Below are 25,056 nucleotides of genomic sequence, written 5' to 3'. Positions count from 1 at the left end.
TATTTTTACTTTTTTGAGATATCTCCATACTGTTTCCCATAGTGGCTGTACTAATTTACATTCTCTCCAACCATGTATAAGAATTCCCACTTTTCTGCATCCTTGACAACATCTGTTATTTTTTATCTTTTTGATAATAGCCATTTTAACTGGTGTAAGATGATACCTCGTTGTGGCTTTGGTTTGCATTTCCCTGATGATCAGTGATATGAAACTGTCTTTTCAGAAATGTCTATTCATCTCCTTTGCCCACTTTTTAATGGGATTATTTACTTTTCTGCCACTGAGTTTCTTGTAAATTCTGCAAATAAGTTCCTTGTCAAATAAGTTCCTGCTAATACTTTATATTTTCTCCCATTCAACATGTTGTCTTTTTGCTCTGTTGTTTTCTTTGCTGTGCAGAAGCTTTTTAGCTTAATATAGTCCCATTTGTCTATTTTGGGGGGTTTTAGCTTGTGCTTTTGAGGTCTTAGCCATAAAATATTGCTTAACCCAATGTCCTGAAGTATTTCTCCTTTTTTCTTTCAGTAGTTTTATAGTTTCGGGTCTTACTTTTAAGTCTTTAATCAATCTTGAGTTCATTTTTGTATATGGTGAGAGAGGAGTACAGTTTCATTTTTCTGCATATGAATATCCAGATTTCCCAACACCATTTATTGAAGAGGCTGTTCTTTCCACAAAATATGTTCTTGGGGCTTTTGTCAAAATGAGTTGGATATAAATACATAGATTTATTTCTGGGTTCTTTGTTCTATTCCATTGGTTTATGTGTCTGCTTTAATATCAACATCATGCTGTTCTGTTACTATAGCCTTGTATTTTGAAGTCAGATAGTATGCTGCTTCCAGCTTTATTCTTTTTGCTCGGGACTGTTTTGACTATTTGGGGTATTTTTTTTAGTTCTATACAAATTCTAGAGTTGTTTTCTCTATTTCTGTTAAAAATGACATTGATATTCTGACAGGGATTGCACTGAATGTGTAGACCACTTTGTGTAATATGGTCATTTTAATAATATTAACTCTTCCAATCCATGAGCACGGGATGGCTTTCCATTTGTTTGGGTCCTCTTCAATTTCTTTTATCAGTGTTTCATAGTCTTCCTTATAGAGGTCTTTCACCTCCATGGCTAACTTTATTATTTTATTTTGTTTTCCATACCTGTGGTTAATGTGATTGCCTTCTTGGCCTTTTTCAGCTACTCATTATTGGTGTATAGAAATACTACATAAAATTAAACAAAAAAACCCTAGAAATAAAAATGATTAATACTTTTTTCCTGTGTACAAATATGAAAACTCTGTCTTAAAAACACGCAATCAAAATTCAAAGTTAAACAAAAAAGACGGCAAAATTTAACATATGGTTTTAAAAAATTACTCAAAAAAGCCTTTAACTTTTTAAATAAAGAACATTATAAATCTTCAAGAATAATTTCCATGGAGTAGTCACCAAAGAAGAATGTTGAATTCTTAAATGTTAAATCACCGTTAAAATTGAAAAAATATCCAACTTCAGAGTAATAAAGCAATTTTAAATAATAAATTTTTACTTTCAACTTTTATTTTAGATACAGGGGGGTACATATACAGGCCTGTTACATGGTTATTTATATTGCACCCAGGTAGTGAGCACAGTACCCAATAGGTAGTTTTGTAACCCATGCCCCCATGCCCTCTGTAGTAGTCTGCAGTGTCCACTGTTCTCATATTTATGTCCCTGAGTATCCAACGTTCCATACGAAATTTAGAATAGCCTTTTTTTAATTCTGTGAAGAATTACATTGGTAGTTTAATAGTGATAGCATTGAACCTGTAGATTGCACTGGGCAGTGTGGCCATTTTAACGATATTAATTCTTCCAATTCATGAGAATAGAGTGTTTTCTATTTGTATCATCTCCAATTTCTTTCAGTAGTGTTTTTTAATATTCCTTATAGAGATCTTTCACCTCCTTGGTTAGATGTATTCCCAGGTATTTCATTTTTTGTGTGGCTATTATGAATGAGATTGTGTTCTTCATTTGATTCTCAGTCTAGGCATTATTGGTGTATAGAAATGCTACTGATTTTTGTACACTGATTTCATATCCTGAAACCTTGCTAAAATTGTTCATCAGTTCTTGCAGCCTTTTGGTGGAGTCTTTAGGATTTTCTACGTGTAGAATCATATCGTCAGCAAAAAGAAGCCATTTGACTTTTTTTTTTCTTTTTTTCCCTATCTGGATGCCTTTTATTTTTCCCTTGCCTGATTGCTCTGGCTAGGACTTTCAGTTCTGTGTTGAAGAAGAGTGTTAAGAGTAGACATTCTTGTCTTGTTCCAGTTCTCAAGGAGAAAGGTTCTAGCTTTTGCCCACTCAGTATGATGTTGGCTATGAGTCTGGCATAGATGACTCATTATTTTGAGGTATGTTCCTTTGATGCCTAGTTTGGTGAGGGTTTTTGTCATGAAGGGATACTGGATTTTATCTAAAGCTTTTTCTGTGTCGATTGAGATGATCATGTGGATTTTGCTTTTGATTCTGTTCATGCAGTGAATCACATTTTTTGATTTATGTATGTTGGAACAACCTTGCATCCCAGGAAAGAAGGCTACTTAATCATCGTAAATTAACTTTTTGATATGCTGCTGAATTAGATTTGCTAGTATTTTGCCGAGGATTTTCGTGTCTATGTTCATCAATATGTTCAGGATACTGGCCTGAAGTTTTCTTTTTTTGTTGTGTCTTTGCCAGGTTTTGGTATTAGGGTGATGCTGGCTTTGTAGAATGAGTTAGGGAGGAGTCCCTCCTCCTTGATTTCCTGGAATAGTTTCAGTAGGATTGGCACCAGTTTTTCTCTGTGTGTCTGTTAGAATTTGGCTGTGAATCCACCTGGTCCAGGTCTTTTTTGTTTTGGTTAGTAGAGTTTTTATTATTGATTCAAATTCAGATCTTTATATTGATCTGTTCAGGATTTCAATCTCTTTCTTATTCAATCTTGGAAGACTGCATGTTTCCAGGATTTTATACACTTCCTCTAGATTTTCTAATTTGTGTGCATTAGAGTTGTTCACATCATTCTCCGAGGATCTTTTGTATTACTGTGGGATCAGTTATACTGCCATCTTTGTCATTTCCAACTGTATTTGTTAATCTAGCTAGCAGTCTATGAGTCTTGTTTAATTTTTCAAGGAACCAACTCTTGATTTCATTGATCTTTTGTATGGATTATTGTAGCTCAATTTCATTAAATTCTTCTCTAATTTTAGTTCTTTCTTTTCTTCGGCTAGCTTTGGGTTGGTATTTTTTCTTCTTTTCTAGTTCCTTTAGGTGCAAGGGTAGATTGCTCATTTGAGATCTTTCTAAATTTTTGATGAAGGCATTTAGGGCTATAAACTGTTCTCTTAAAACTACTTTAGCTGCATCCCAGAGATTCTAGTAAGATGTGTCTCCATTTTCATTAATTTCAAATAATTTATTTCTGCCTTAATTTCAACGTTCCCACAGGAGTTTCAAGAGTAAGTTGTTTAATTTCCATGTACTTGTGCAGTTTTGAGAGATCTTCCTTATACTGATTTCTATTTTTACTGTATTGTGGTCTGAGAATATGGCTGGTATGATTTGAGTTTTTTTGAATTTACTGAGATTTGTTTTATGACTGAGCAGGTGCTGGCTCTTAGAATATGTTCAGTATGCATATGAGAAGAATGTATACTCTGTAGTTGTTGGGTGGAGTGTTCTGTAGATGTCTATGAGGTCCAATTGGTCAAATGCTGAGTTTAAGTCCGGAGTTTCATTGTTAGTTTTCTGCCTTGATGATCTAACACTGTCAGTGGGGTGTTGAAGTCTCACCCTATTATTACGTGGTTGTCTATATGTCTTTTCGTAGGACAAGAAGAACTGGTTTTATGAATCTGGGTGCTCCAATGTTTGGTGTCTATGTATTTAGGATAATTAAGTCTTCTTGTTGGATTGTACTTTTCATCATTATGTAATGTCCTTCATTGTTCTTAATTTTTATTGGCTTAACATATGTTTTATCTGATATAAGAATAGTGACTTCTGCTCTTTTTTTGGTTTCTGTTTGCATATCTTTCTCCATCCCTTTCCTTTGCGCCTACAGGTGTCACAAGAGGTGAGATGGTTCTGTTGAAGACAACAGATGGTTGAGCTTTCTCTTTTTATCCACCTTGCCACTCTGTGTCTTTTAAGTGGGGTTTTAGTGTATTTACATTCAAGGTTAGTATTGATATGTATGATTTTCATCTTGTCATCATCTTGTTAGCTGGTTGTTAGGTAGAACTGATTGCATAGTTGCTTTATAGTACCTGTGAGCTACGTACTTAAGTGTGTTTTTGTGGTATCAGATATTGTTCTTACGATTCCATGTTTAGCACTCCCTTAAAGACTTCTTATATGGCTGGTCTAGTTGAAACAAATTTCCTCAGCATTTGCTTAAAATCTGATGAAGATTTTATTTCTCTTTCACTTATGAAGCTTAGTTTGGTAAGAGATGAAATTCTTAGCTGGAATTCCTTTTCTCTATGGATGTTGAAAATAGGCCCCCAATTTCTTCTGGCTAGTGAGGTTTCTACTGAGAGGTCTGCTGCTAACCTAATGAGGTTCCCTCTGTATGTGACTTGACCCTTCTTTCTAGCTGCCTTTAAGATTTTTTCTTTAATGTTGACCTTGGTGAATCTGATGGCTATGTGCTTTGGTGACGGTTCCTGTCTATAGTATCTAGCTGGTGTTCTCTGTATTTATTGGATTAACATGTCAACCTCTAGCAAGATTAGGGAAATTTTCATGGATTATATCCTCAAGTATATTTTCCAAGTTATTTTTCTCTCTCCTTCTCTCTCAGGAATGCCAATGAGTCTTAGATTTAATCACTTTACATAATCCCATATTTCTCAGAGGTTTTTTTCAGTTTTAAAAAATTCTTTTTTCTTCGTTTTTGTCTGAGTTGCCTTGAAGAAACAATCTTCAAAGTCTAAGATTCTTTCCTCAGTTTGTTCTATTCTGCTGTTAATACTTCTGATTGTATTATAAAATTTTTGTAGTGAGTTCTTCAGGTCTAGAAGTTCAGTTGGTTCTTTCTTAAAATGGTTATTTCCTCTTTCAGCTCCTTGATCATCTTACTGGATTCCTTAGATTGTGTTTCAACTATCTCCTGAATCTCAATGAGCATCCCTTCTATCCAGATTCTGAATTCTATGACTGTTATTTCAGTCATTTCAAACTGGTTAAGAACCATTGCTGGGGAACTAGTAGATTCATTTGGAGGTAGGGGGACACTTTGGCTTTTTGAATTGCCAGAGTTCTAGCACTGACTCTCATCTTGGAGGGTTGGTGTTCTGCAGTGTTAACTGTATATAGTCAGTTAGCTTCAATTCTGGGTGCTTTCAGAGGACTAGGGCTCCGTACAACATCTTTAGGTAAACACTTGCACTTGGTTTCACAGGTGTATATATCAGCAGATTTTTGGTGTTGCAGTTTGGGCTACAATCCAGTAGCTGGCACTTAAGAGTAATGGCCAGTAGCTAGGCTAATACCCAGCCACACAACTCTTTGGTACTTCCTCACTTTCACAGGTGTGCACTGCAGTGGGGAAGTCAGGGATGGGGAGAGGGGAAGGAGAAGAGATGGCCTCACCAGGTCCACTTGGGGGAGCTCCCTCCAATCATGGGCGCCCATGCCTGAGTTTCTTTTGTTAGGTGTTCCGGGCTGCCAGGCCCCCCAGGCAGAGGCTGCAACAGAGAGATATGCCAAACCCCTTCTGGACAGGCCCTGTTTAAGGAGAAATGCATGTCTGGTTCCCACCCTGGTCCAGGAACCCATGCGTGTCGCCCCCTCAGTGTTCTAAGGGTACATACAGTCTCCTCCCCAGCTCATGTGCTGGCCACAGATCTTGGCTGCAGGCTGGAGCTCTGGGGGTACCCAGATGTCCCGCAGCTTGGGGTCAGGTTCCAGCTGTGCTGAGGAATTACAAGTGTTTCTGGGCCACTAGGAAAAGAAATAAGGTGAAACAATGCACTCAGGCTAGGCTGCAGATGCTACACTGTGCACTCAATCATGCGGGGCAGCTAGGCATGTGTCCAAGGAGGGGCAGTCGACAGGCGAGCTTGCACAACAGATGTGCCCCTGTTCCATGGCGAAGCCAGCCCCACTCTTTTCTGGCTCAGAGGTCAGTTGGGGCTGGCACTTCCTGAAGGGGGATGGGGAACCCTAGGGAAAAGACATCTATGGTCACTCTCTGACAGAGCTACCCAGCCCACAAAAACTCCCAGGCTCTGCAACATCTGAAAATTAGTCTCTGCCTATCCCCAGCAAGATCCCTCTGCCAGCTCGCATGTCCACAGCAGACGAGTAACTAGGATCCTAGGGGTCAGTGGTGAAAGTGAGCTGTCCCTCAGGTCCTTCATTCACCTCTTTCCCAGGAGCTCTTAAGGGCCAGGAACTAGTCCTAGGGTTCAGTTAACCTACACAGTGTTCCCAGCTTCCCCACCTTCATGCTCAGCTTCAGTGTCGCCTTTCCATTCACTCTCAGCTTTTTCTCTTTGAAGATCTGCCCAAATTAAGGTGGTTTACTCAATAATATGGTCTCTCTCAGTGTGAATGGTACTTCCTCCCTGTGTCTAGTAGGCCATCTTGTCCCCCCTTCAGTTTTCTTAAGCAAGCATGGTTTACATTTGCCTTTTATTTATTTGTTTTTTATAAATTCAGGGGGTTTAAGTGCCATTTTGTTACAAAGATATATTGCATAGTGGTGTTTTTAGCGTAGCCATCACCAGAATAAGTATACACTGTACCCATTAAGTAATTTCCCATCCCTCATCCTTCTCTCACACTTCCATCCTACTGAGTTGCCAATGTCTATTACTACATTTTCTATGTCCATGTGTACACATTATTTATCTCCCACTTACCCATGAGAACATGCAGCATCTGACTTTCTGTTTTTTAGTTATTTCACTTAAAATAATGGCCTCCAGTTCCCTCCATGTTGCTGCAAAAGACAAGATTTCATTCTTTTTTATAGTTGAGTAGTATTCCATGGTTATATAAACCACATTTTTTAGCCAGGTGTGGTGGTGTGCATCTGTAGTCCTAGCTACTTGGGAGGCTGAGGCAGGAGGATTACTTGAACCCAGGAGTTCAAGGATGAGTGAGCTATGATCGTGCCGCTGCACTCCAGCCTGGGTGACAGAGCAAGACCCTGTCTCAAGCAAAAACAACAACAACAAAAAAAAATTTTCTTTATCCAGTCATCTATTGGTAGACACTTAGGTTGATTCCATATCTTTGCCATTGTGAATAGTGCTGCAATAAACATACAGGTGCAGGTATCTTTTTGATATAATGATTTATTTTCCCTTGAGCCTATACTAAGTAATGAGATTGCTAGGTCAAATGGTAGTTCTGTTTAAATTATTTGAGAAATCTGCAAACTGCTTTCTACAGTGGCTTAACAAATTTACATTCCCACCAACAGCGTATGTTTCCATTTCTCTGCATCCCCGTCAATATCTGTTATTTGACTTTTTTTTTTTTTTTCTCGAGACGGAGTCTCGCTTTATCGCCCAGGCTGGAGTGCAGTGGTGTGATCTTGGCTCTCTGCAGCCTCTGCCTCCTAGGTTCAAGCGATTCTCATGCCTTAGCCTCCCGAGTAGCTGGGACCACAGGCACACACCACCACGCCCAGCTAATTTCTGTATTTTCAGTAGAGATGGGGTTTCACTATATTGGCCAGGTTAGATGTTATTTGACTTTTTAATAACAGCTATTCTGATTGGTGTAAGACGGTATCTCCTTGTGGTTTTAATTTGCATTTCTCTGATGATTAGTGATGTTGAGCATTTTTTCATATGCTTCTTGGCCATATGTATGTCTTCCTTTGCAAAATGTCTGTGCATTTCCGTTGCTCACTTTTTAATGGGGTTATTTGAGGGATTTTGGTTGAGTTGTTTGCATTCCTTGTAGATTCTGGACATTGGACCTTTATCAGATGCAAAGTTGGCTAGTATTTTCCCCCATTCTGCAGGTTGTCTGTTCACTGTGTTGATTATTTCTTTTACTGTGCAGAAGCTTTTCAGTTTATATAGCCCCATTTGTCTACTTTTGTTTTTGTTGCATTTGCTTTTGAAGGTCTCAGTCATGAATTCTTGGTCTAGGCCAATGTCTGGAGGAGTTTTTCCTAGATTTTCTTCTACACTTTTTGCAGCTTCAGGACTTACATTTAAGGCTTTAATCCATCTTGAGTTATTTTTTGTATGTGGTGAGAGTTAGGAGTCCAGTTTCATTCTGCATATGGCAATCCAATTTTCCTAGCGCCACTTACTGAATAGGGTGTCCTTTCCCCAGTGTATAATTTTGTTGACTTTATCAAAGATCAGTTTGCTGTAAGTGTGGGGCTTTATTTCTGGGTTCTCTATTCTATTCTACTAATCTGCGACTATTTTTATACCATGCTATTTTGGTTACTAACACCTTGCAGTATAATTTGAAGTCAGGTAAAGTGATACCTCCAACTTTGTAATAATACCAATCTGACAAAGCTTTTTCTAACGAGGAAATGACAAGAATGTGAAAGAAACAATGATTACTCTGTATTTACTAATTTTTTAAATTTTTTATGGGTATATATATAAGTGTATATATTTATGGAGTACATTAGTTATTTTGATACAGGCATACAATGTGTAATAATCACATCAGGGTAAATGGCATACTGCTAAATTTTTGATAAATAACAAGTATTATCATATGATAAGAAAAAGCAACACACTTTATTTCATTAAAACAAGAAATATACATACATATATATACGTATATATATACATATATATACGTATATATATATATGTGAAATATTCCTTCATCCTTAAAAATGGAATTTAGGACAACTGCCAAAATGACATCTGAGGAACACTAGATCAACAGATATTAAGATGTGAGATTTTTAAAAAGGAAGGTGGGGGCGTTCCATGATGAAACGTATTCAGGAAATATTGGGCTAAATAAAGTTGAGAAGTTTTTCAGTGCAGGACTTCTAGAGCCATTGATATGCTAATTTTCTAAACTTAGCCATCTCCATCACAGACTGAGTGGCTCTAGAGAAGCCCTAACAATCTGGAACAGCATTTAAAAATCACCAATCTAATACAATATTCTAACATTTTTTATATATTTTGTAAAATGTACAAAAACAGATGAAAGGTGGAGGGAAAATGAATTCTGTTTACAATAAAGCTGAGGTTCTATAAGGCATAATTTATAACTACATATTGGGTCCAGTTTGAAGGAACCAGAAGTAAAAGATAGCAAACAGGAGGTCTGTAATTTTTACTTGTTTATTAAAATTGATTTATATGCTAATTTTATATTGAATATACTTTAAATTGTGCTAACTGCAAGTACATGGCTTTAAACGTGATGAAAAGTCAGACCAATATATAGCTGAATTTTAAAAAGTATAAATTGAAATGAAAATATAAATATATCTTAGAGTTTAAATAAAAACGACGCCTTGGACATCTAAAGCAACAATAATTTCACAGTAAAATTTCATATATACACACTAGGCAAAGCACTGAAGTATTTACTAAATATATTTTCATATTAGCCATTAGATGGCACCATATATCTACTAGTTAACATAACTATACTATAATTCCCCTGACATGCTCAAAAAGTAATATAAAATATATTTAACTTCTACGTAAATATAATACACATTATCTTTTATCACTGTTAACTTTAAGCTTTAAAGGAAGAAAGATGATATAAGCAACTACATTTATATCACCATTTCTGGAATGTTAAAACTTAATAAGTAATCTCATTCAGAAATCAAATGAAATGTTCTAAGACAATGATTCAAAGGCTGAAGAGCAGACAGCTAGAGAATGCCTTTCCTTAAGGTAAATGTAAGATAAAACTAATTCTCTACCTTAATAAATTTTGTTTTTACTTTTTATTCATAAACCTACATTGTCCAATTTCCAATTCTTCTAAATAATCAAATTTCTGTCTCCTCTTAAATTTCACCATATCTTGTTCTCTAATCCAGGACTCTCAGTTCCTGTGTAATTTCCCAGTCTCTCCTGAAATCGCTGCTGCAGATTTTTATATAGTCTATTTAAATACCAAAAATGACCCCATTCTAATAATCACATTTTCTACTTCCAGTTAAGATAAAATAACATGGACAGATTTCTCCCACCACCTGAAAACACTAAAACAAGACAGAGCGTATGAAACAATGGCACTCAAGACACTGAAGATGGGCAATAAAGGAGTGATCATTCAGAGGAAGAAAAAAAATGAGATCATCTGTATGACTATGATTTTCCAAGCTTACTACCTGGAGAAAGGGGACAGTGCGGTCACTGTACAGTCAGGTGAGTGTTGAGGAGATAAACCTGGGAGTATGAAGAAGCCAAGTGTGCTCAAGTTCATGTGGCTGAGTCCCGGAATAAAAAGCTGTGTAGACAGAGAACTCCAGACACCTGCACTGAGTCACTCCTAAGATACAGTTCAGTACTTCTTAGCACATACATGTAAGGAAACAATCAGAGGCTGGGAAAAAAACTGCCTAAGAGGATTAGAGGGAAGACATGCCAAATCTTACACAGAGCATGAAATGGGGACTATTCTGAAGATCCAGAATTTTAAAATCTCAAACCTTATGAGCCACTGATTAGACTGACATATGAAGGATTTTGCTTCAGAAAATTAATCTTACACTAAATGCAGGTTTTGCCCCTCCTAACAAAGGTGAAAAGCAAGACTGAAAGGAAAGTCTCAGGTAATTTAACCTATCTCAGAATAAAGCTCAAGAACTAATCACGATTAGATCTAACACTCAACAAGGGAAACTTCACAATGTTTGGCATCCAATAAAGAAATTATCAGGTATGCAAAGAAGCAAAATGAAAAAAACCTAGCAGAAAAATTAATCAATCGAAACTGACTCAGAAAATTGATAAAATTAGGAGACAGGGACACTAACAATTATGATGATATATTCCATGGGTTTGAAGAACCAGAGGAATGATCGAATGTGGTAAGAGGAGATACGGAACTTTTCTTAAAAGCCTAAATCAAACTTCCAAAGGTAAAAACTAAAATGTCTTAGATAAAAATACACTGAAAGAGACTGACAGCACATCAGATATTACAAAAGAAAATGTTAATGAACCTGAAGACATATCAACAGAAAGCATAAACACAACAGAAAGACTAAAAAAATGCAAATAATCAGTAAATTGTGGAACAACTTCAAGTAGATAAATACATGTGTAATTGAAGTCCCCACAAAAGAGATGAGAAAAGAAGAAATCAAGAAAACATTTGAAGAAGTGATGGTCAAAATTGTTCCAAATTTAATGAAAACTATCACCAAAAGCAGCTCAGTAAATTCAATGTACAAGAAAAAAACGAAGAAAACTACACAAAGGAACATTATATTCAAATGGATTAAAGTTGTAAAGATAAAAACAGAAGTAGTCAGAAAAATTACACATTATCTACAAAAGAAAAGAGGTAAGGCTGACAAGAGATTCATCAGAAATAATAAAAGATAGAACAAGTGGCACACTATCTTTAAAGTATTGAAAGAATAAAAGCCGCTAATCTAGAAGTCCTTGCCAGTTAAATGATCTTTGAAAAGCAAAAGGTGAAATTTTGTAAAACAACACAACACAACTTTGAGTCACACAAAAGGATATAGTTTGGATATTTGTCTCCACCCAAATCTCATATTGAAATGTAATTACCAGTGTTGGAGGTGAGACCTAGTGGGAGGTGTTTGGATCATGGGGGAAGATCCTTTACAGCTTGGTGCTGTCCTTACAGTAGTGAGTACTCACAAGATCTGATTGTTTAAGTGTGTAGCACCTCACCCACATTCTCTCTTGCTCCTGTTTTCACCATGTGAAGTGCTTGCTCCCACTTCATGTCCCACTATTAGTAAAAGCTTCCTGAGGCCTCTACAGAAGCTGAACAGATGCCAGCGCCATGCTTGCACAGCCTACAAAACTTTAAGCCAATTAAACCTCTTTATAAATTATCCAGTCTCAGGTATTTCTTTATAGCAACACAAGAATTGCCTAATATAGAAAACTGGTACCAAGGAGTGGGGCTCTGCTATAAAGATATCTGAAAATGTGAAAGCAACTTTGGAAGTGGGTAACAGGCAGAGGTTAGAATAGTCTGGAGGGCTCAGAAGAAGACAGGAAGATGAGGGAAAGTTTGGAACTGCTTAGAGATGAGTTAAATGGTTGTGACCAAAATGATGATGTTGATATGGACAATCAAGTCCAGGCTGCTGAGTTCTCAGATGGAAATGACAAACACACTGGGAACTGGAGCAAAGGTAACTCATATTATGCCTTAACAAAGAGCTTGGTTGCATTGTGTTCATGTCCTAGGGATCTGTGTAAGTTTGAAAATGAAAGATAATTGGGTCGGGTATGGTGGCTCATGCCTGTAATCCCAGCACTTTGGGAGGCTGAGGTGGGCGGATCACAAGGTCAGGAGTTCAAGACCAGCCTGACCAATATGGTGAAACTCTGTCTCTACAAAAAATACAAAAATTAGCCGGGCATGGTGGCGCATGCCTGTAATTCCAGCTACTCAGAAGGCTGAGGCAGGGGAATTGCTTGAACCCGGGAGGCAGAGGTTGCACTGGGCGACAGAGTGAGACTCCGTCTCAAAAAAGAAAAAAAGAAAGATGATTTAAGGTATCTGGCGGAAGAAATTTTTTTTTTTTTTGAGACGGAGTCTCATGCTATCACCCAGGCTGGAGTGCAATGGCGCAATCTTGGCTCACTGCAAGCTCCACCTCCTGGGTTCACGCCATTCTCCTGCCTCAGCCTCCTGAGTAGCTGGGACTATAGGCGCCCGCCACCTCGCCCGGCTAATTTTTTTTAAATTATTATTTTTAGTAGAGGCAGGGTTTCAGCATGTTAGCCAGGATGGTCTCGATCTCCTGACCTCATGATCCACCTGCCTTGGCCTCCCAAAGTGCTAGGACTACAGGCATGAGCCACCGCGCCCAGCCCCTGGCAGAAGAAATTTCTAAGTGGCAAAGCATTCAGGATGTGGCCTGGCTGCTTCTAACAGCCTATGTTCAGATGTGGGAACAAAGAAATTACTAACATAGGAACTTACATTTAAAAGGGAAGCAGAGCATAAAAGTTTGGAAAATTTGCAGCCTGGGCTTGTGGTAGAAAAGAAAGGCCCAATTTCAAGGCAGGAATTTAAGCAGGCTGCGGAGCAACCACTTCCTAGAGAAATTTGCAAAATTAAAAAGGAGCCAAGTACTAATACCCAATACTATGGGAGAAAGGTCTCAGAGACCTTCATGGCAGCCCTTCCAACCAAAGGTCTTGAAGCCTAGGAGAACTGAATGGTTTTGTGGGCCAGGCCTAGGGTCCTGCTGCCCTGCACAGCCTTGGGAAATTGCTCCTGTATCCCGGCCACTCTGGCTCCAGCCTCAGCTCAAAAAGGCCCAGGTATACCTTGGGCTGCTGCTTCAGAGAGTGCAAGCTGTAAGCCTTGGAGGCTTCCATGTAGTGTTAAGCCTGTAGGCACTTGGAGTGCAAGAGTAGTGGAAGCTTGGCAGCCTCTGCCTAGATTTCAAAGATGTTTAGAAAAGCCTGAGTGTCTAGGAAGAAGATTGCTGCAGGGATTAAGGCCTCACAGAAAACCTCTACTAGAGCAGTGCAGAGGGAAAATGTGAGGATGGAGGCCCCACACAGAGTCCCCACTGGGACACTCCTAGTGGAGCTGTGGAAAAAGGGCAGCTGTTCTCCAGACTCCAGAGTGGCAGATCCACCAGCAGCTTTCACTGTACACCTGGAAAAGCCACAAGCACTCAACTCCATCCTGGAAGAACAGATGTGGGGGCTGACCCCCTAAAAAGCCACAGGGGCAGAGTGGCCGAAGGCATTGGGAGCCCACCCCTTGAAGCAGTGTGCCCTGAATATAGGACGTGGAGTCAAAGAGGAGACTGATTTGGAACTTTTAAGATTTAATGACTGCCCTGATGCGTTTTGAACTAACATGGGGTCTGCAGCCCCTTTCTTTTGGCCGATTTCTCCCTTTTGGAATGGAAATGTTTACCCAATGTCTCTATCCACACTGTATCTTGGGAGTAAATAATTTGTTTGATTTTACAGGCTCCTAGACAGAAGGCAATTGCCTTGTATCAGATGAGACTTTGGATTTTTAGTGTTGCAACAAGTTAAAACTTTGGGGGACTATTGGAAAGGCCTGATTATATTTAGCAACATGAGAAGGACATGAGATTTTGTGGGGCCAGGGGTGGAATGATATAGCTTGTATATCTGTCCCCACCCAAATCTCATGTTGAGATGTAATCCCCAATGTTGGAGGTGGGGCCTGGTGGGAGGTGTTTAGGTACTGAGGGCAGAATTCTCATGGCTTAGTGCTGTTCTTGAAATAGTGAGTACTCACAAGATCTAGTTGTTTAAGTGTGTGGCACCTCCCCACTGACTCTCTCTTGCTCCTGCTTTTGCCATGTGAAGTGCCTGCTCCCACTTTCCCTTCCAGCATGAGTAAAAGCTCCCTGAGCCCTCTCCAGAAGCTGAGGGATGCCAGTGCCATGCTTATACAGCCTGCAGAACCGTGAGCCAATTAACCTCTTTTCTATAATAAATTACCCAGTCTCAGGTATTTATAGCAGTAGAAGAATGGACTAATACACACATGTTGAAAGACAACATCACCAGCAAATCTGCTGTAAGAAATATTAAAGTTCTTCAGACAGAATGAAAATGACACAAGATGGAAACCCAGATATACAACAAAAAGAATACAGTGTACTAAAAAATAATTTTCATCTTATTATTTAAAAATTTTTAAAAGATAAGAGAGAATGACATCACAGAAAATGAGGGAGAAGGAAGCTTCAAGGGTATGTACCTCCACTGAAACAACCATTAAACAGGAAAAAATTGTCAGAATCAACTATTTCAAAACTCTGGAACCTTGTTGGACAATTAGAGCAACGAGGGATGTGCTTGCTGAAGGGAGAGACTGCTGAAACTCAGTAAGAGAACAGTATGCACAAAACAGCTACCATCCCCCATCCTTCAGCCCCCACCTTGGCAATGGGGACATCAGCTCATATACCTGGACTGGCTAGTTGGCGCTAAAATCAGCAGTAAGGACCCTGACTTCCAAAAATTGGCGGTTGTGCATTTTGATCATTCTGGCATTTCCCTGAAGAACAGATGTAGATGCCTGCCTTTGTTTTGGCTGCCTCAGGCTGCAGTGGCTTTGCCAACAGTGGCTATTTCCAGATGGCACATACATCTTTGGTTGGTTTTTTTGGATCCAGACATTTAGGAAAACCTCTGAGAGGTCCTTGTCTGACCACAGATATAAGGAAAAAGAAACATCTCTGACTATATACAAGAAGGAATAAAGACTTTTCAAAAATAGTCTGGGGAGGTCACTAAATAGATGACTGCAGCACCTACTAACCAAAAATGAGAAATCCCTGAGGAGTAGGACAATCTCATTTCTACTTACCACAATAGAGTGTTCAAAATGTTGTTTTCAACAAAAAGTTACAAAGCTTTCAAAGAAACAAGAAAGTATGGCCCATTCTCAAGATAAAAGAATTTCACAGAAACAATCTCTGAGGAAGATCCAAAATTAGAATTACTAGTTAAGGATGTTTAATGAACTTTCTTAAGTAAGATTAATAAGCTAAAATAAACCAGGGACAGAAAAAACACACACACACACAAAGAAAATCAGGAGAACAAGTGTCAATAAAGGGATAGAAATTATAAAAAGAAACCAAATAGACATTCTGACAGTGAAAAGTACACTAGATCAAATGAAAGTTTACTGGAGATGTTCAATGGCAGATTTGGCCAGGCAAATCAGAGACTCAGTAAACATTAAGATAAAACCATTGAAATGACCCACTTTGAGGAGCAGGGGGAAAAAAAGAAGGCAGAAAAATGAACATAATGAGGGCCTGTGAGATACCATCAAACATACCAACACATGTATCATAGGAGAACCAAAAGGAGAAGAGGAAAAAGGCAGAACAATATCAGAAGAAGTAATGGCCAAAAATGACTTTGTAAATATAACACCAAAGGCACAATCCATGAAAAAAAATAGTTGATAAACTGGATCTCAATTTAAAATTTAAAACTTCTGCTCTGCAAAATACAATGCGAAGAAAATGAGAAGACAAGCTACAGATTACAGGAAAATATTTGCAAAAGACACATTTGATAAAGGACTGTTTCAAAAATATATAAAGAACTCTTAAAACTCAACAATAAAAAAAAAAACAGCCTGATGAATAAATGGGCCAAAGGCCTTAAAAGACACCTCACCAAAAGCGATAAGCATATAGCAAATTAACACATAAAAAGACACTCCACAACATCTGTTATCAGGGTAATGCAAATTAAGACAACAGAGACACCACCACATACCTATTAGAATGGCCAAAATCCAGAACACTGACAACTCCAAATGCTGATGAGGATGTGGAGCAACAGGAATCCTCATTAATGGCTGCCGTAAATGCAACATGGCACAGCGACTCTAAAAGACAGTTTGGCTGCTTCTCACAAAGCTAAATATATTCTTACCATATGATCCAGCAATTACATTCCTTGATATTTACTGAAAAAAGTTGAAAACTTACATCCACACAAAAATGTGTACATTGATGCTTACAGCAGCTTTATTCATAATTGCCAAAACTTGGAAGCAACCAAGATGTCCCTCTGTAGGTGAATGGATAAATAAAACTGTGCAACATCCAGACAATGGAATACTATTCAGTGTTAAAAACAAATGAGTTATTAAAAAAAATTTCAAAACTTCAAAACCAGTGTTTTAAACTAACCCAGTCACACAAAAGCAAAGGGAATTTTAAAAACAGTTTCATGCCTGTAATCCCAGCATCTTGGGAGGCTGAGGCAGGTGGATTGCTTCAACTCAGAAATTTGAAACCAGACTAAGCAATACGGTGAAACCTTGTCTCCAAGAAAAATACAAAAATAAGCCAGCCACGGTGGCACATGCCTGTAGTCCTGGCTACTCTGGGGGCTGAGGTGGGAGGATCACCTGAGACCAAAAGATCAAGGGTGCAGTGAGCTGTGATGGCGCCACTGCACTCCAGCTTGGGTTACAGAGTGAGACCCTATTTAAAAAATAATAATAATAATAATTAATAAACAAGTCTTTGAGAAATATGGGACTATGTAAAGTAACCAAACCTATGAATTACTGGCATTCTTGAGAAAAAGTAAATCTGGAAAACATAACTGAGGGAATAATGCAAGAAAATCTTCCTGATCTTGCAAGAGAGGTAGGCATCTAGATATAAGAAATCGAGGCAACACCTACAAGATACTATAGAAAACAAACATCACCAAGGCACATAGTCACCAGACTGTCCAAGGTCAACGCTAAAGAAAAAAATCTTAAAGGCAGCTAGAGAAAAAGGTGTCAGATCATGCACAAATGGAGCCCCATGAGACTAAGAGCAGGCCTCTCGGCAGAAACTTTACAAGGCAGGAGAGAATAAGGGCCTATTTTCAGCTTTCTTGAAAAGAAGAAAGTCTGGGTCAGGCATAGTGGCTCACATCTATAATCCCAACACTTTGAGAGGCTGATGCAGAAGGACTGCTTGAGTCCAGGAGTTTGAGACCAGCATGAAAAACATAGCAAGACGTCATCTCTCCAAAAACTAAAAATTAAAAATTAGTCAGGTGTGGTGGCACACACCTGTAGTCCCAGCTACTCGGGAGGCTAAGGTGGGAGGACTGCCTAAGCACAGAAGTTTGAGGTGCAGTGAGCTACAATTGCAACACTGCTCTCTAGCTTGGGCAACAGAGTGAGATCCTGCCTCAAAAAAAAAAAAAAAAAAAGAAAAGAAAAAGAAAAAGAAAAAGAAAGAAAAGAAATTTCAACAAAGAATTTCATATTCCACCAAACTAAGCTTCATATGCAAAGAAAAAATAAAATCTTTTTCCAACCAAGCAAGCACTAAGAAAATTCATTACCACCAAATGAGCTTTACAAGAGATCCTTAATGGAATTCTAAACATGGAAATGAAAGAACAATACCTGCTACCACAAAAACATAATAAAGTACATAGCCCATAGACCCTATACAGCTTCCACACAATAAAAACTACAAAGCAAAAAGCTAAGGGAAGTGAAGGACCTCTTCAAGGTGAACTACAAACCACTGCTCAATGAAATCAGAAATGACACAAACAAATGGAAGAACATTCCATGCTCATGGATAGGAAGAATCAATGTCATGAAAATTCATACTGCCCAAAGTAATTTATAGGTTGAATGCTATTCCCATTAAACTAACACTGACATTGTTTACAGAATTAGAAAAAAAACTATTTTAAAATTCATATGGACAAAAAAGAGCCCAAATAGCCAAGACAATCCTAAGCAAAAAGAACAAAGTTGCAGGCAGCATGCTACCCAACTTCAAACCATACCACAAGGTTACAGCAGCCAAAACAGCTTGGTACTGGTACAAGAACAGACACATAGACCAATGGAACAGAATAGAAACCCAGAAATAAGACTGCACACCTACAACCATCTTATCTTCAACAAACCTGATAAAAACAAGCAATGGGATAAGGGCTCCCTATTTAATAAATGGTACTGGGAGAACTGGCTAGCCATATGCAGAAAACTGAAACTAGACCCCTTCCTTACACCATATACAAAAATCAACTTGAGATAAAATAAAGAATGAAATGTAAAACCCAAAACTATAAAAACCTTAGAAGAAAATCTAGGCAATACCTTTCAGGATATAGGCACCGGCAAAGACTTCATGACAAAAGTGCCAAAAGCAATTGCAACAAAAGCAAAAACTAACAAATAGGATCTAATTAAACTAAAGAGCTTCTGTGCAGCAAAAGGAACTATCCATCAGAATGAACAAACAACCTAAAGAACAGGAGAAAATTTTGCAATCTATCCATCTCACAAAGGTCTAATACCTAGCATCTACAAGGAACTTAAACAAATTTACAAGAAAAAAACCATTAAAAAGGCAAAGAATATGAACAGACACTTCTCAAAAGAAGATACACATGCAGCCAACATACATATGAAAAAAAGCTCAGCATCACTGATCATCAGAGAAATGTAAATCAAAACCACAATGAGATACCATCTTACACCAGTAAGAACAGCTATAATTAAAAAGTCAAAAAATAACAGATGCTGGCATGGTTCTAGAGAAAAAGGAGCACTTTTACACTGTTGGTAAAAATGTAAGTTAAGTTCAACTATTGTGGAAGACAATATGGTGATTCTTCAAAAACCTAGAGGCAGAAATACCATTTGACCCAGCAATGCTCCCATTACTGGGTATATGCCCAAAGAAGTATAAATCATTCTATTATAAAGACATATGCATGCACATGTTCATTGTAGCACTATTCACAATAGCAAAGACGTGGAATCAATCTAAATGCCCATCAGTGATGGACTGGATAAAGAAAATGTGGTACATATACACCACGGAATACCATGCAGCCATAAAAAGAAAAAAGATCATGTCCTTTGTAGGGACATGGATGGAGCCACAAGCTGTTATCCTCAGCAAACAAACCCAGGAACAGAAATCCAAATGCCACATGTTCTCACTTACAAGTGGGAGGTGAGTGATGAGAACATATGGACCCATGGTGGGGAAAAACACACACTGGGGCCTGTTGGAGAGTAGGGGGCAGCAGGAGGGAAAGCACCAAGACGAATAGCTAATGGATGCTGGGCTTAATACCTAGTTGATGGGATGATCTGTGCAGCAAGCCACCATGGCACACATTTACCTCTGCAACAAACCTTCGCATCCTGCAAATGTACCCCTAAACTTAAAAGTTGGGAAAAAAAAAAGACCCATTTGTCTGCTGTCCTCAAGAAAACCATCTCATCCATAACAACATCCACAGGCTCAAAGAAAAGGGTGGAAGAAAGATCTATCAGGTGGAGCCAAGATGGCCGAATAGGAACAGCTCCAGTCTAGAGCTCCCAGTGTGAGCGACGCAGAAGACAGGTGATTTCTGCATTTCCAACTGAGGTACCGGGCTCATCTCACTGGGGAGTGTCAGAAAGTGGGTGCAGGACAGTGGGTGCAGTGCACCCAGCGTGAGCCAAAGCAGGGCGAGGCATCGCCTCACCCAGGAAGCGCAAGGGGTCAGGGAATTCCCTTTCCTAGTCAAAGAAAGGGGTGACAGACGGCACCCGGAAAATTGGGTCACTCCCACCCTAATACTGCGCTTTTCCAATGGTCTTAGCAAACACCATACCAGGAGATTATATCCCGCGCCTGGCTCGGAGGGTCCTACGCCCACGGAGCCTCGCTGATTCCTAGCACAGCAGTCTGAGATCAAACTGTAAGGCGGCAGCGAGGCTGGGGGAGGGGCGCCCGCCACTGCCCAGGCTTGAGTAGGTAAACAAAGGGGCCTGGAAGCTCGAACTGGGTGGAGCCCAGCACAGCTCAAGAAGGCCTGCCTGCCTCTGCAGGTTCCACCTCTGGGGGCAGGGAATACCCAAACAAAAGGCAGCAAAATCCTCTGCAGACTTAAATGTCACTGTCTGACAGCTTTGAAGAGAGTAGTGGTTCTCCCAGCACGCAGCTGGAGATCTGAGAACGGACAGACTGCCTCCTCAAGTGGGTCCCTGACCCCTGGGTAGCCTTACTGGGAGGCACCCCCCAGTAGGGGCAGACTGACACCTCACACGGCCAGGTACTCCTCTGAGACAAAACTTCCAGAGGAACGATCAGGCAGCAACATTTGCTGATCACCAATATCTGCTGTTCTGCAGCCTCTGCTGCTGATACCCAGGCAAACAGGGTCTGGAGTGGACCTCTAGCAAACTCCAACAGACCTGCAGCTGAGGGTCCTGAATGTTAGAAGGAAAACTAACAAACAGAAAGGACATCCACACCAAAATCCCATCTGTACGTCACCATCATCAAAGACCAAAGGTAGATAAAACCACAAAGATGGTGAAAAAACAGAGCAGAAAAACTGGAAACTCTAAAAATCAGAGCGCCTCTCCTCCTCCAAAGGAACGCAGCTCCTCACCAGCAACGGAACAAAGCTGGACGGAGAATGACTTCGATGAGTTGAGAGAAGAAGGCTTCAGACGATCAAACTACTCCGAGCTAAAGGAGAAAGTTTGAACCCATGGCAAAGAAGTTAAAAACCTTGAAAAAAAATTATACGAATGGTGAACTAGAATAACCCATGCAAAGAGTCCTTAAAGGACCTGATGGAGCTGAAAACCAAGGCACGAGAACTACGTGACGAATGCACAAGACTCAAGAGCTGATTCTATTAACTGGAAGAAAGGGTATCAGTGATGGAAGATCAAGTGAATGAAATGAAGCAAGAAGAGAAGTTTAGAGAAAAAAGAATAAAAAGAAATGAGCAAAGCCTCCAAGAAATATGGGACTATGTGAAAAGACCAAATCTATGTCTGATTGGTGTACCTGAAAGTGATGGGGAGAATGGAACCAAGTTGGAAAACACTCTGCAGGATATTATCCAAGAGAACTTTCCCAAACTAGCAAGGCAGGCCAACATTCAAATTCGGGAAATACAGAGAATGCCACAAAGATACTCCTCCAGAAGAGCAACTCCAAGACTCATAATTGTCAGATTCATCAAAGTTGCAATTAAGGAAAAAATGTTAAGGGCAGCCAGAGAGAAAGGTCGGGTTACCCACAAAGGGAAGCCCATCAGACTAACAGCTGATCTCTCGGCAGAAACTCTACAAGCCAGAAGACAGTGGGGACCAATATTCAACATTCTTAAAGAAAAGAATTTTCAACCCAGAATTTCATATCCAGCCAAATTAAGCTTCATAAGTGAAGGAGAAATAAAATCCTTTACAGACAAGCAAACGGTGAGAGATTTTGTCACTACCAGGCCTGCCCTAAAAGAGCTCCTGAAGGAAGCACTAAACATGGAAAGGAACAACCAGTACCAGCCACTGCAAAAACATGCCAAATTGTAAAGACATCAAAGCTAGGAAGAAACTGCATCAACTAACGAGCAAAATAACCAGCTAACATCATAATGACAGGATCAAATTCACACATAACAATATTAACCTTTAATGTAAATGGGCTAAATGCTCCAATTAAAAGACACAGACTGGCAAATTGGACAAACAGTCAAGACCAATCAGTGTGCTGTATTCAGGGAACCCATCTCACGTGCAGAGACACACATAGGCTCAAAATAAAGGGATGGAGGAAGATCCACCAAGCAAATGGAAAACAAAAAAAAGGCAGGGGTTGCAAACCTAGTCTCTGATAAAATAGACTTTAAACCAACAAAGATCAAAAGAGACAAAGAAGGCCATTACATAATGGTAAAGGGATCAATTCAACAAGAAGAGCTAACTATCCTAAATATATATGCACCCAATACAGGAGCACCCAGATTCATAAAGCAAGTCCTTAGAGACCTACAAAGAGACTTAGACTCCCACACAATAATAATGGGAGACTTTAACACCCCACTGTCAACATTAGACAGATCAACGAAGACAGAAAGTTAACAAGGATATCCAGGAATTGAACTCAGCTCTGCACCAAGTGGACCTAATACACATCTACAGAACTCTCCACCCCAAATCAACAGAACATACATTCTTCTCAGCACCATGCCGTACTTATTCCAAAATTGACCACATAGTTGGAAGTAAAGGACTCCTCAGCAAATGTAAAAGAACAGAAATTATAACAAACTGTCTCTCAGACCACAGTGCAATCAAACTAGAACTCAGGATTAAGAAACTCACTCAAAACTGCTCAACTACATGGAAACTGAACAACCTGCTCCTGAATGCCTACTGGGTACATAACGAAATGAAGGCAGAAGTAAAGATGCTCTTTGAAACCAACGAGAACAAAGACACAACATACCAGAATCTCTGGGACACATTCAAAGCAGTGTGGAGAGGGAAATTTATAGCACTAAATGCCCACAAGAGAAAGCAGGAAAGATCCAAAATTGACACCCTAACATCACAATTAAAAGAACTAGAGAAGCAAGAGCAAACACATTCAAAAGCTAGCAGAAGGCAAGAAATAACTAAGATCAGAGCAGAACTGAAGGAAATAGAGACACAAAAAACCCTTGAAAAAATCAATGAATCCAGGAGCTGGTTTTTTGAAAAGATCAAAAAAATTGATAAACCGCTAGCAAGACTAATAAAGAAGAAAAGAGAGAAGAATCAAATAGATGCAATAAAAAATGATAAAGGGGATATCACCACCAATCCCACAGAAATACAAATTACCATCAGAGAATACTATAAACACCTCTATGCAAATAAACTAGAAAATCTAGAAGAAATGGATAAATTCCTCGACACATACACCCTCCCAAGACTAAATCAGCAAAAAGTTGAATCTCTGAATAGACCAACAACTGGCTCTGAAATTGAGGCAATAATTAATAGCTTACCAACCAAAAAAGGCCCGGATCAGATGGATTCACAGCTGAATTCTACCAGAGGTACAAGGAGGAGCTGGTATCATTCCTTCTGAAACTATTCCAATCAATAGAAAAAGAGGGAATCCTCCCTAACTCATTTTATGAGGCCAGCATCATCCTGATACCAAAGCCTGGCAGAGACACAACCAAAAAAGAGAATTTTAGACCAATATCCCTGATGAACATTGATACAAAAATCCTCAATAAAATACTGGCAAACCGAATCCAGCAGCATATCAAAAAGCTTATCCACCATGATCAAGTGGGTTTCATCCCTGGATGCAAGGCTGGTTCAACATACACAAATCAATAAACGTAATCCAGCATATACAGAACCAATGACAAAAACCACATGATTATCTCAATAGATGCAGAAAAGGCCTTTGACAAAATTCAACAAAGCTTCATGCTAAAAACTCTCAATAAATTAGGTATTGATGGGATGTATCTCAAAATAATAAGAGCTGTCTATGATAAACCCACAGCCAGTATCATACTGAATGGGCAAAAACTGGAAGCATTCCCTTTGAAAACTGACACAAGACAGGGATGCCCTCTCTCACCACTCCTATTAGTGTTGGAAGTTCTGGCCAGGGCAATCAGGCAGGAGAAGGAAATAAAGGGTATTCAATTAGGAAAAGAGGAAGTCAAATTGTCCCTGTTTGCATATGACGTGATTGTATATCTAGAAAACCCCACTGTCTCAGCCCAAAATCTCCTTAAGCCGATAGGCAACTTCAGCAAAGTCTCAGGATACAAAATCAATGTGCAAAAATCACAAGCATTCTTATACACCAATAACAGACAAACAGAGAGCCGAATCATGAGTGAACTCCCATTCACAATTGCTTCAAAAAGAGTAAAATACCTAGGAATCCAACTTACAAGGGACATGAAGGACCTCTTCAAGGAGAACTACAAACCACTGCTCAATGAAATAAAAGAGGATACAAACAAACGGAAGAACATTCCATGCTCATAGGTAGGAATAATCAATATTGTGAAAATGGCCAAATTGCCCAAGGTAATTTATAGATTCAATGCCATCTCCATCAAGCTACCAATGACTTTCTTCACAGAATTGGAAAAAACTACTTTAAAGTTCATATGGAACCAAAAAAGAGCCCGCATTGCCAAGTCAATCCTATGCCAAAAGAACAAAGCTGGAGGCATCACGCTACCTGACTTCAAACTATACTACAAGGCTACAGTAACCAAAACAGCATGGTACTGGTACCACAACAGAGATATAGACCAATGGAACAGAACAGAGCCCTGAGAAATAATGCCACATATCTACAACCACCCGATCTTTGACAAATCTGACAAAAACAAGAAATGGGTAAACGATTCCCTATTTAATAAGTGGTGCTGGAAAAACTGGCTAGCCATATGTAGAAAGCTGAAACTGGATCCCTTCCTTACACCTTATACAAAAATTAATTCAAGATGGATTAAAGATGTAAATGTTAGACCTGAAACCATAAAAACCCTAGAAGAAAACCTA

At 39.2% G+C, this 25,056-nt stretch overlaps 1 protein-coding gene across 11 annotated transcripts in view, besides 1 other annotated feature; it reads right to left on the bottom strand.

Moving 5' to 3' along the window:
- SYT14 (synaptotagmin 14) overlaps window positions 1–25,056 on the bottom strand; it is a 233,173-nt gene that overhangs the window by 172,021 nt on the left and 36,096 nt on the right. The gene's annotated exons all lie outside the window — the stretch shown is intronic.
- Window positions 5,511–6,011: an enhancer, noted in NCBI's record as "H3K4me1 hESC enhancer chr1:210166703-210167203 (GRCh37/hg19 assembly coordinates)". NCBI's record gives its function as "activates a minimal SCP1, AML or CMV promoter by ChIP-STARR-seq in primed H9 embryonic stem cells {active_cell/tissue: H9 hESC(primed)}" and the evidence as "EXISTENCE:reporter gene assay evidence [ECO:0000049][PMID:30033119]".

Source organism: Homo sapiens, chromosome 1, assembly GCF_000001405.40.
Source record: "Homo sapiens chromosome 1, GRCh38.p14 Primary Assembly".
NCBI classification, from domain to species: domain Eukaryota; kingdom Metazoa; phylum Chordata; class Mammalia; order Primates; family Hominidae; genus Homo; species Homo sapiens.
This window is presented reverse-complemented; position numbering and strand designations above follow the sequence as displayed.